We start from the raw sequence: 12,254 nt of genomic DNA on the forward strand, positions 1-12,254 counted from the left end.
CCATTCTCTCTTCTCTTTCTGAGACTCTTAATTACAAATATGTTAGACATTTCACTATGTCCCATGTGTCTATTTTGCTATTTTCTGTATATTCTTTTCTATTTTTTCTATATTCTTTTCTCTCTCTGCCTCAATTTGATTGTTTTCTATTGACCTTTCAGTTCACAAATCATCTATGTGTTACACCTGCTTGTTACCCATTTATTGAATTCTCAATTCATTATTGCCTTTTTAATAATTTTTAAAGCTTGAAACAATCTTAAACTCCAAAAAGTTGCAAGTGTATTACAGAGAACATTTTTTTCTCAACGAATTTTGAAATTAAGTTGCCAGCCTGATGTAGCATCACCTGCAAGTGATTTCCTGTGATTTTTCTACAAATAAGGACATTTTCCTGCATAACCATAATATAATCATCAAAATTAGGAAATTAACCCTGATGCATTCTTTCCCTCTAAACGTCTATTCCTATTGAAGTTTTGCCAGTTGCCCTAACAGTGTCTTTTATTGGAAAAGGATCTAATCAGAATCATGTATTGCATTTAGTTATATCCTGTTCCTCAGTCTTTCTTCAACTTTCCTTGCCCACTCAGACTCCAACACCCAACTGTGCTCTGCCACCCACATACATACAGATGCCATCCTTATCAGCTCAACCTATAATGCCCTGCACTGGGCCATCCTCCCAACCAGAGACACCTTCCTTACTCCATTCAACCTTTAACATTTCATCCTAGGACACCCTCCTACATGGAAGCCTTCTTCATGCTGCTTAGGCTATGACACCTTATGCCAGGTCACCCCCATGCATGGAAGGCCTACTCACCCCAGTCAGGCCCTGACTCTTCACACAGGGCCTCTCCCCATGCCTCCCCCTGCTGCATGGATGCCCTTCTTAACCTGCTTAGATTATGGCACCACATACCAGGCTGCTCCTCCATGGATACTTTTTTCTCTTGACTCAAGCCCTGTAACTGCTTGCCAGATTGCCCCCATAGTGTAAGATATTTCTCACCCTACTGAAGTTCCAACACACCTCAATGGGCAATTCTCCTATGCAGATGCCCTCCATGCCCTTACTGGAGGCCATTGCATCTCCATCAATACACACATACTGTGGTATAAATGTCTACCTCATCCTGCCCTACCAACAACTTTAAAAGTGCATAGTTCAGGAAAAAAAGGGAAGAAGAGGAAGAAGAGAAAAAGGAAAGAATTCTAGAATTTCTGTTTTGTTAATAGATTCCAATGCTCTAGTAAAATTCTCTGTCTTTTCATTATTTTCTTTAACATATTCAAATTATTTTTGTGTCAGAGAACTTGAATAATCCATGTTATCTGTAGGCCTATTTGTATTGCCTGATCTTTCTCTTAGTTTTCATTCATTTGGTCTTGTTTTATGGTGTGCCTGTTAACTTGCTATTGAATGCTGACCACTGTGTATGAAAACTTTTGAAGATGTTATCTTCCTCAAGAAAAGATTTAAAGTTCTGCTAGCCAGCACGTAAGGTGGGTGGATCACTTTAATGCAGTCTAGACTGATCTATTTCCAGTTTCTGTAACTCTTACAGTTAAGCCCTTCCTGGATTTCAAATGAAAGCTGGATTGTCCAAGGCATCTCTCCTCTTTGGAAGGCCCCCACCTGAATTACTATTTTTGACTCCTCAGTGCCATGCAATTGCCTCTTGGTGATTTCTTTCTGCTTGGCTTTTCTGTATCGTTTCTCCATATGTGGCTTAAGATCAGCAATTTCTGGAAGGAAAATTATATGCAGAGTGTTGACTCATTTTTCTGTGGTTTCATTCCTCCAGGATCTCGGTCTCTCAAGCGCTGGCTGGCTGCTTGGTAGCCCTGCACTTGAATGTTCATGTACCTGTTCCACTGAGATTGCTGTAGACTTCAGGCTGCTGCTTTCTGTTTGGGTTCTATGTCCTGCGCTGCAGCTCTGCAAATGCCTTAAGAGAAAAACATGGTGACCAGAGCAGGAATCACCTCTATGTATTTCCCTTCTTTCTGTAATTTTTGCTTCTTGAGTTCTGGTTCATTTGATTGTGTTCCAGTGAATTTTATCAAGGTTGATTCTCAGCAGGAAGAAGAGTATAATACCAGCGACTTCATCATAGTCCTAAGTGGAAGTCCTCCACGTGCATGAATTTAAGTTTTCTATACATCATGGCTTCTTTGTTTGTTCTTTATTTCTTTTATTAACCAGTTCTACCTTTTGCTAGATAGATTGCAGGTGTTGGATTTTTGGTTCAAGATTTTATTCCATTATGCTTCATCTATTTCACAATCCTTTAAAAAAAAACCTTCAATGAGATATATTTTACATACAATATACAGTCCTTTAACAATTGTATTCAGCTTTATTGCCACATTACTGAATGTTAAAAATAAATGTTTGCTCCTCACTATGTCTTATACCCTGTATCTTCCCCTTTGTTCTATCCATTTTTCATTTTGCCGGCAAATATCTGTAACTAATTTTTTTAAAGATAGGGTGGGTGCTTGGATGCTACTTCTTTCATGATTGAAAATATCTTTATTTTGCCCTAGCATTTGAATGCTGCTTTAGGTAGGTAATAAATTTCTTCATTTACAGTCTTTTTCCCTTACAACTCTGAGGAGACTATGTCTTTTTTTTTTTTTTTTTTTAGCCATTTGGTGTTATAGATGAGAAATCTGATTCTTCTCGCTATGTTGACAGCTCTAGTGCCTCTTGGTGGCTTTTTTTTTTTTTCTGCCTACCAGAAAAGATTGTAGAGTTTTTTCTTTGTTCTTAGACTTTGGAAATTTCACCAAGATATGTTTACGTGTATGTCTTCTTTCAGTATTTCTATTTGACAGTTCATGAACCTTAATATCCTAAAGTTTCAAATCTTTCTTTGATTAATGGAACTTTTCTTATATTATTTGTTTCATCCTTACACGTTTTTCCTTTGAATTCTTAGGATAGATATTCAGTCTCCTGGATCTGTCTTTCATATCTCTTAACTTCACCCTCATAACTTCTTATGTCTTTGCCTGCCCTGTAGGGAAGAGTCCTTCTAGATCACTAATTTGCCTTTAGCCATGTTCATTCTAGTACTCAGCTCATCTATTGTTTTTAAAATATATTTTTTCAATCATCTTAAATTTCCAGGATCTTTCTTGTTTTCCTGTTTTTCCTTTTCCAGTAAAGACTGTTCTTATTTTAAGGATGTTATCCTCTCAAATCTCTAATGATATATTTGAAATGTCTAATTTTTTGTCTTTGGTTTTCCAGATTAAGTCTCCTTTCAGGGGGACGAGTAGGGAACATGAAATTAGCTTTTCTGCTTGCGTAGCTTGGTGACTGTCATGCTACTGGTTTTCCCCATTGCCAAGTGATGCTTATGTACTCACATTTTAAAATTCAGGTCTAGATTGATCATTAATGGTAATTGATAGGGATTTCCTTAGCTATTGCTAAAGGCTCCTGTCTGATAACACTTGGATTGAGCTCTCATTTCTGCAGGCCATGGCTGAGCACAGGGTTCTGCAAGTGGACTTCAAGCAGCTATGATAAGTGGCTGAAGAAGTGTTCATGAATAGGCTTCCCTTCAGGGTGCCTGAGCTGGCAACAAGCTGGGAAACTGGAACTGTCCCAGTGATAGACACTAGGAAGGTGTTATTTGAGAGATGGCAGCGTTCAGGGATTTCTTTGCTTTTCTTAGCTGCTTTGCTTTTTCCCTTGTCCATGTCCAATGGGACTGCCCAGAGTTACCAGAGGCAGTGCTCCCTTTCCTTTCTCTGTCCCCTCAGGGTGGCTTCCACAGCAAATATCCCTCACTTCACGCAGCCGTACTTGCCAGCACTTGTGCTGGTGGTAGATGATGTAAGGGCATCCGCAGCCTAAACTACCACTATCTCATAGTCCCTTCTTTCTCTCACGCCCAGCTCCTCCTCACCTTAAGCTCGGGGTTTGTCCTGTCCTCTGGCAGAAAAAATCATTCACATCTTCGTTTAGTAGTTCCCGCTTTTTCCTGTGTTCAGTTATAAGTTACTACCTTTGTTTGTTTCTTCACCAATATAGTCTTTTAAAAATATCCTCAGCAGCATAACACAACTCCTACCTCCAAAATTTTGAAAGCAGTTTATTAAGTATATGAAATTTAATCCATAAATATAATCATGAACGAACCATATATGTCATTTAATCATTTTCACATCATTTCTGTCCCATTATGTAAGCAGATAAGTATTCTTTATTTGTTTCACTGTGTACTGGGATTTAGGTTTCCTTTTTCAATGTATACTCTCTGTCCTGTGATTTTAAGAAAATTTTAAGAAATTATTTAGCGGTTTAATGTGATAATTAATCATGTTTGAAACAGTAGTGGTCATCTAAACAAAGCAGGCTTAGTTATTCTTATTGAAGGTTCATCTGAGTACATTTGGGGGACCAAGGCATTTTTTCATAAGCACAAGCTAGTATCTAAATTGCATTCTTTACTGAGAATTTTATCCTTATAGTACCTGATTCTTTCACTGTAGTGACTCAAGCATGGAGTCAGAGACCCGGGTTCAAATCCTGGCTCTTCCACTTATTAACTCCATAATTTAAACAGCCCAGTGCCTGGCACAGAGAGGGTACCTTGGTAAATATTGGATGAGTGAATATGTGAAGTTACTTACATGTATGAGGCTGAGTTTCCTTACCTTGAAAACAGGAATAACAAAGGGATTGCTTATGGATTATAGACAATTTATGTAAAACCTCTTGGCATATAGTAGGCATCAATTAGTGCTACGTATAACAATAATAAATTTTATACAAGAGTCCTTTTATTAATATCAAGCAAGTCCCACAAGTAATAGGAGTTATCCAGGTTGATGGGGTGGTGAGAGAAGTCTACCTACAAGACACAGTTGCTTCAGATAGTTTCCAGCATTTTTTCTTCCTCTCTTGCTGTAAACATTTATTAAAGCAGAGTATGTTCAACAGTTCTGGGCAGGATCAAGATTGAAAGCACAAAGACATGGTCCTAAGGGGCATGCAGACCAATTGAAGAGACCTTCTGGACACAATGAGAACACACTCCTAAAAAATAGTAAAGCAAATGTGAGGCATAGACTGAAGAAGAGAATAAGGGAGTGGAGTGAGTGTGAGGAAAGGTTATGTAAAAGTGGATTTCGAATTGAAAAAAAAGACGGTATTTTGATTGGCGCAAAGACCATGTGAAGGCCGGGTGCGGTGGCTCACACCTGTAATCCCAGCACTTTGGGAGGCGGAGGTGGGCAGATCACCTGGGGTCAGGAGTTCTAGACCAGCCTGGCCAACATGACAAAAACCCGTTTCTACTAAAAATACAAAAATTAGCCGGGCGTAGTGGTGGTCACCAGGAGTCGCAGCTACTTGGGAGGCTGAGGCAGGAGAATCGCGTGAACCTGGGAGGTGGAGGTTGCAGTGAGCCAAGATTGCACCACTGCACTCCAGTCTGGGCAACAGAGCGAGACTCCATCTCAAAAACAAACAAACAAACAAAAAACAAAAAACAACCATGTGAAGATTGCTCAGGCAGTGCATGGGGAAGGTGTAGTGTGGGTGTCCTGGTGCAGACAGATCCTGGGGACGGTAAGAGACTGGTAGTTTGGTATAGAGGAGATGCTCAGAGGGAGCAGGAAAGGTGAGGTGAGGGAGGTAAAGTGAACCCAATTTGCAGTTCACCTTGGTCATTGCATTAATTTTTCATTTTGCTGTTTCCCACAGCCCTAGCCAGTTAGCACCTTGTTTGAATACATTCATCAATAGTCCAGAGAGGGTGAGAACTATTAGATGAAGTGTTTTTACTTTGAGATGCTCTACCTTGACTTACAATTTGAACAGATTAAGCCTGGTTTTAGCAGATCACAGGGTCTTAAGAAAAGCCAGCTAGTTATTCCTTTGGCAACCAACATTTAAAATTGGACATGTTGAGACCTGTCTTTATCTGAAGTAATTATGGCAAGTTAAACCATGTTCCCTTTCCTCTGAGGAGATGTGAGCCCCTCTGAAATATTCCTCCCTCCTTCCTACAATTTTTCTCTCACTTGACCTTCCCTTCTGATTCAAAGCTGGTTGATGGGTTGTGGAATCAGGATTTAAACACCTCTCTCTATGAATTTTGTGAACAAAACTTTAAAAAAAAAATGCTAACACAGAGCTGGCTGCAGTGACTCATGCCTGTAATCCCAGCCCTTTGGGAGGCCGAGGTGGGTGGATCACCTGAGGTCAGCAGCTTGAGACCAGCCTGGCCAACATGGTGAAACCCCATCTACTAAAAATATAAAAAATTAGCCAGACGTGATGGCAGGTGCCTATAATCCCAGCTACTTGGGAGGCTGAGGCAGGAGAATCGCTTGAACCCAGGAGGCGGAGGTTGCAGTGAGCCAATATCCCACCATTGCACTCCAGCCTGGGCGATAAGCGCAAAACTTTGTCTCAAAAAAAAAAAAAAAATGCTAACACCATTTAATTCAAGGCTGCCCATGATGGCACACAAGACATTTGAAAATGTAAATTACAAATAAATGATAGGTCTTCATGTGCTAAGGGTATATCATTTTTTATTTGCTTTCTCTTTCTTCCTTTTGATTGTTGTTGTTGATAGAAATGCTATTTTTTCAGTGAAAATTTTAGATAGAACAGTCTTTGATTTTCAGCATTTATTTTTATACTTCTATTATTGGAATGCCTGCATTAGTACATAAGCTAGTATATATGGCAAAATTGTTGGGATTAAATGCAAGCTTACTGCATTGATTCCATGCTATAAGTATTGTTCCCTACTTATTCTAATATATACAGATAGATATAGATATACATATACTTTAATAGACATTTCATGTTTTAAAGTGTTGTCTTTTAGAGTTTTCTGTTATTTATCATCCCAAGATGTAATTCTCTAAAGAAGGGAATGGCAAATTATTTTAATGCTTTTATTGTTTTTATTTCTAGCTTATTCCACTAAGCTCAACAAATTTCCTGTATTTAATATTAATGATGACTTGAATGATCTGTGTACCAGTGCAGTAAGCCCAAATACTACCAAAGCCACGCGGTACGCCTTGAATGTGTGGCGTTATTGGTGCATGACCAACGGGCTCAAAGACCACACAGACATCACCAAGGTAAGGGACTCTTGAGTTTACTTCTTTCAGCCAACTTCACTGAGCTTCCAAATGCCAGGCACTGTGCTAAGCATTGTAGGGAACACAGAACGGTGGCTTTCTGCCTGGGGAAACTTTGGAAGAACATGAAATAGATAAAATCCACACACAAAGCAGAATTTAACAAGCGTTTTATGAATTTATAGATTGGAAATGCCTGAAAAGTTCAGAGGGCTAAATTAATTTCAATTTGGTAAAACTGGAGAGAGAATTGATATTTAAGTGGTTTTTTTTTTTTTTGAGGAAAGATAAGATTTTAGTAGAATTAGATGAGGACGGGAGCCTTCTAGGCTGAGTGATGTGAGGAAGAATAAAATTTGGGGAGACAGACTCACTTGACTACAGCAGAGGCCTCATATCTTGGTATCATGGACAATAAAACCAGATTCTGATAACCCTTAAGTGCCAGGCTAAAATCTTGTGAACACTGGAAAATCACTGAAATATCTTGTTTTGTTTTTGCTAAGGAGAGACTTTATTTGAAAGGATTATTGCAGGGGCAGAGAAAGGGACTATTGTAGTAGGGAAAACACTGTGACCATAAAATCTGCAAGCATCCTAAGGATTAGACAAAAGGGAAACCACTGAAGTTGTTTGAGAGAGAAGAAACATAATGAAAGTGGTATTTTAGGGAAATAATTGGAAGTGATGAGCAAAAAGTTAATGTCCTTGGTCCTCCATTTCCCCATTTGTAAAATGAGCTCTTAAATTTCTTCCAACTTGAAAGCCAGGGGTACTGGCACACACCTGTAACAGTCCCAGTTACTTAGGAGGCTAAGGCAGGAGGATTGCGTGAACCCAAGAGTTCAGGGCTACAGTGTGCTACAGCCATGACTGTAAATAGCTACTGTACTCCAGCCTGGGCAACATAGCAAGACGCTGCCTCTAAAAAACAAACAGGAAAACTGAAAAACTCATCCAACTTGAAATGCTTGAGGTTTGTAAATCGAAGGAAAAAATCTTGGACATGTGGAGATAGAACATAAAGGTACTGTATTTTGATTTGACTGCATTGAGTCTAAATCAGATTTGCAGATGGAAATGGCCAACAAAGAGTTAGGAATGTGGGACTTAAAACATGGTGGAACTGTTAAAGCTGGAAGTATACATTGAAAAGTCTTGCAAATAGAGGTCATAGTTGAAGCCCAAGGGCAAGTGAGATCTCCAGGTTTGAGTGATGTGCTTAGGGAATCAACAACAGATGAAATAGGACAGGAAACCCAGGTTTCTACTTCTGGCACCATGGTACACTACATAGTGTGAGGGGCCTTTCTACTGTACTTGAAGACAGGGAAACATCCATGGGACCAAAAAAAAAAAAGTGCAACAGAAGCAGTGACCAGTAAGCACATATGAAAGGCAGGGTCCTGTCTGAGAGCATATGTTGATAACATTATTTTAAAAAGGGAAGATGAGCTGATGAATCCTTGATGAAAAAGAGGACCTGAAAGGGTCCTAAAGTGGTTCTAGGTAGGTAGCATACCCTGGCTCCTGGCAAAGTCATATGATAATACTCTTTTAAGGAAAATATCCAAAATGTAGGTGCTCAGGTTTTTTTGCAGATTCAGAGCAACTACATATGTGCTCGTTAAAAAAAACAAAAAACAAACAAACAAAAAAAACAGCGCTGAAGGAAATAAACCACAATGCATGAGGATGAATAAAAACAACAAACAACAGATTTAGACACGAAGGCCTTTAGATAGCAGATTATAGACTATATATGAAAACATATAGAAATACGCAACAATATACTAATCACAGTAATCTAGCAGATTTAAAAACAAATTGAAATTTCCATTTCTTGCCAGAATTACCCTCCTAGAAAACCAGACACAACATGTGAAACAATTCTTTTTAGACAGAATGGGCTGCACAGAATGTGAGCCCTAAGGCACAGGAAACAAGTGAGAGGAGCGCTGTCATCTCAGGATTTCTGCCTGGAGGCAATTTCTGAACTGCAATGAAGGGAGGGGAATCTGCTCAAAGTTTGGCAATCTCACTAATTTGAGGGTAGGCAGAGATCACAGTTTAGAAAGGCTGAGGATACAAGTTCACTAGAAAGAAATTTCATCGTTTATTGAGAAAAAAATGACAAAATTCAGAATCCAGTATTGTAAATTTCACAATTTCTAGTGTCCAATCAAATATTACTAGACATGGGAACATGTGACTCATACATGGGAGAAAAATCAGTTAAGTCTTTCACTTTGGCCAGTTTGCAGAGCCAGATTTACCCTTATTCTTGAACAACCATAAAACAGATGAAAGATATAAAACAATGTTTTTCAAGGCATTATATAATAGGCTAAGGACAGTGACCTCCAAGAGACAGCAAACAAGGTAATACCTGTGACTGCTCCAGCTTACTGCCTTGAGAGAATTAATAGTAGGTTTGTGGTACAGGGAGGGAGAATCCAGTCAGAGCCCAGCGGACTTGCTGAATTAAGGAAATGGAGCTGAGAGTCCAGAGAGACCAACATGGCTAAAGTTGTCATGACAGAGCACTCAGAACTAGAGAGCTGCACAGCAACATAACCTAAGAGCTCTGAAGATAATCTCCCTCAAATACTCAGCTGAGTACTGATCAACATATATGTGTGAGGAAGCTATCTGAGGCTGACAAAGAACTGCCTGAAGAGATTAGAGGGAACAGTACTTGGCACTCACACAGAATTGGAAACTGTACCTGTTCCCACCAGCCAAACTGGAAAAACCTCAGGATTCATGGGGTACTCAGAAAGGACTTGCATCAGGTATGGGGAATAATTAGCCCTAGACAGAGCACTGCTCTAATCCCATCCAAGAAATCTTGAAAATGCTTTGATCCAAAATGAGAATCTCACAAGGATCCAAAAGGATCAAAGCATTTTCAAGTAACTTAATCATGTCCCAGAACAAAGTTTCAGAATATGTATAGTAATGTAAAAATATCTAGAACACAAGAGATAAAATTCACAATGTCTAGCATCTAAACAAAAATTATCAGACGTGCAATGAAGCAAGAAAATACATCCCTTAAAGGATGAATCCATCAAAACCAGGCCAGAACTAACTAGATTATATAACTAGAAGACAAGGACATTAAAACAGTTATTGTAACTATATTTGATAAGTTCAAAAATTTAAGTAGAGACATGGAAAATATAAAAAGGACCAAAAATGAACTTACAGATATAAAACTACAATGTGTGATGAAAAATAAATGCTTATGCATATTTTACTTAGAGAAGAAAATATGTGAACTTGAATGTATAGCAATAGTAACTATGTAAAATGAAACACCGAAAGAAAAGAGAATTTTTTTTTTTTATTTTGAGACAGAACCTTGCCCTGTCACCCAGGCTGAAGTGCAGTCCAGTCATAGTTCACTGCAGCCTCAATCTCCTGGGCTCAAGTGGTCCTTCCACCTCAGCCTCCTGAGTAGCTGGGACCACAGGCATAAGCCACCACACCTGGCTAATTTTTTTTTTTTTTGTACAGACGATGTCTCTCTGTGTTGCCCAGACTAATCTCAAACTCCTGGGCTCAAGCTATTCTCCTGCCTTGGACCTCCCAAAGTGCTGGGATTACAGACATGAGCCACCATACCCCACCTGAGAATTTTAAAAAATAATCAGAACATTACTGACATGTGGGACAATTTCAAGGAGCCTAATGTACATGTAATTGGAATCCCTGAAAAAGAGAAAAGGAGGAGGAGGAAGTAACCAAATTACTTAAAACCAATGATAAAGAGAAAAAAGCAGCCAGATAAAAAAGACATATTATATACAGAGGAACAAAGATAGGGTTGACAACAGATTTCTCATTAGAAACAATGAAAATTAAAAGGCAAGGGGCAATTTCTTTAAATTATTGAAAGAAAAATACTTTCACTATCCTCTGTGAAAACAGCTTTAAAAAATGAAGATCAAATAAAGACTTTTCAGGCATTCAAAAATGAAGGAATTTATCATCAGCAGATTCACACTTAGAAAAATGTTAAAGGAAGTCCTTCAGCCAGAAGGAAAATGATACCACATGGAAATATGGATCTAAACAAAGGAATGAAGATTACTGGAAATGATAGCTACATGGGTAAATATGTAAGTTTTTAAAATTTTAAATTTTCTTTCAAAGATCACTGACTTTTTAAATGAAAACCATAACAAGATAAAATGGAATAGTAAAAATATTAAATTGATACAGAAAAAAAGAAAAAAAACTCTCATTAGAAACTGTGCAAACCAGGAGACAATAGAATAACATCTTTAAAAAGCTGAAGGAAAAACTGTCAACATAGAATTTTATATTCAGAGGAAATAAAAATAAAGGTGAAATAAAGACCTTTCAGATGAACCAAAGCTGAGAGAATTCATCACTAAAAGACCTACACAACAATATATATTAAAAGAAGCTCTTCAGGCAGAAGCAAAATTATACCATACAGAAACAAGGATCTCACAAAGGAATGCAAAGTACTTGAAATGGCATATAAAATTTGTTTTTCTCATAACAATATATTGCAAGGTTTATATTTTATATATGGAGGAAAAAATGCATACAGCAATAGCAAAAAGGATAAGTGGATGAATGAAAGGGTAGTGTTGTAAAGTTCCAACAATATTTGCGGAGTGGTATAGTATTTGAAGGTAGACTGTGATAAGTTAAAGATAGATATTGCAAATCTTAGAGCAAGACTGAAATATAAAACAAAGAGATAGAGTGGATAATCCTAATGTGGAAATAAGTGGAACTGTAAAAAAAAAAATTAAATGGAAAAGAAGAGGAAAAAAGGAACAAAGAACCAATGGAACAAATGAAAAACAAATGGCAAGATATGGTAGCTGTAAACCCAGCTATCTTGATAATTATATCTACCCATGAAAAGAGAGATACTGTCGGACTGGATTTTTTAAAAAAGCAAGGACCAACTATGTGCTATTCACATCTGGCTTTAAATATAAAGACTGAGAAATGTTAAAAGTAAAGTGATGGGAGAAAGATATACTATGCAAGCATTAATCATAAGAAACCTGAAGTAGCTGTTAATATCACACAAGGTAGAATTCCACAGAAGGAATTTTAACAGGAAGAAGGAA

At 38.1% G+C, this 12,254-nt stretch overlaps 1 protein-coding gene across 3 annotated transcripts in view; it reads left to right on the forward strand.

Moving 5' to 3' along the window:
* Positions 1-12,254, forward strand: part of KIAA1958 — a 182,571-nt gene that overhangs the window by 151,865 nt on the left and 18,452 nt on the right. For all 3 annotated transcript variants that reach the window (NM_001287036.2, NM_133465.4, NM_001287038.2), the window contains one exon: positions 6,959-7,131. In NM_001287036.2, coding sequence (NP_001273965.1) covers positions 6,959-7,131 — 173 coding nt within the window. The remainder of the gene's footprint in view (positions 1-6,958; positions 7,132-12,254) is intronic.

The sequence above is a fragment of the Homo sapiens genome, chromosome 9 (genome assembly GCF_000001405.40).
Source record: "Homo sapiens chromosome 9, GRCh38.p14 Primary Assembly".
In the NCBI taxonomy this organism is placed as follows: Eukaryota; Metazoa; Chordata; class Mammalia; order Primates; family Hominidae; genus Homo; species Homo sapiens.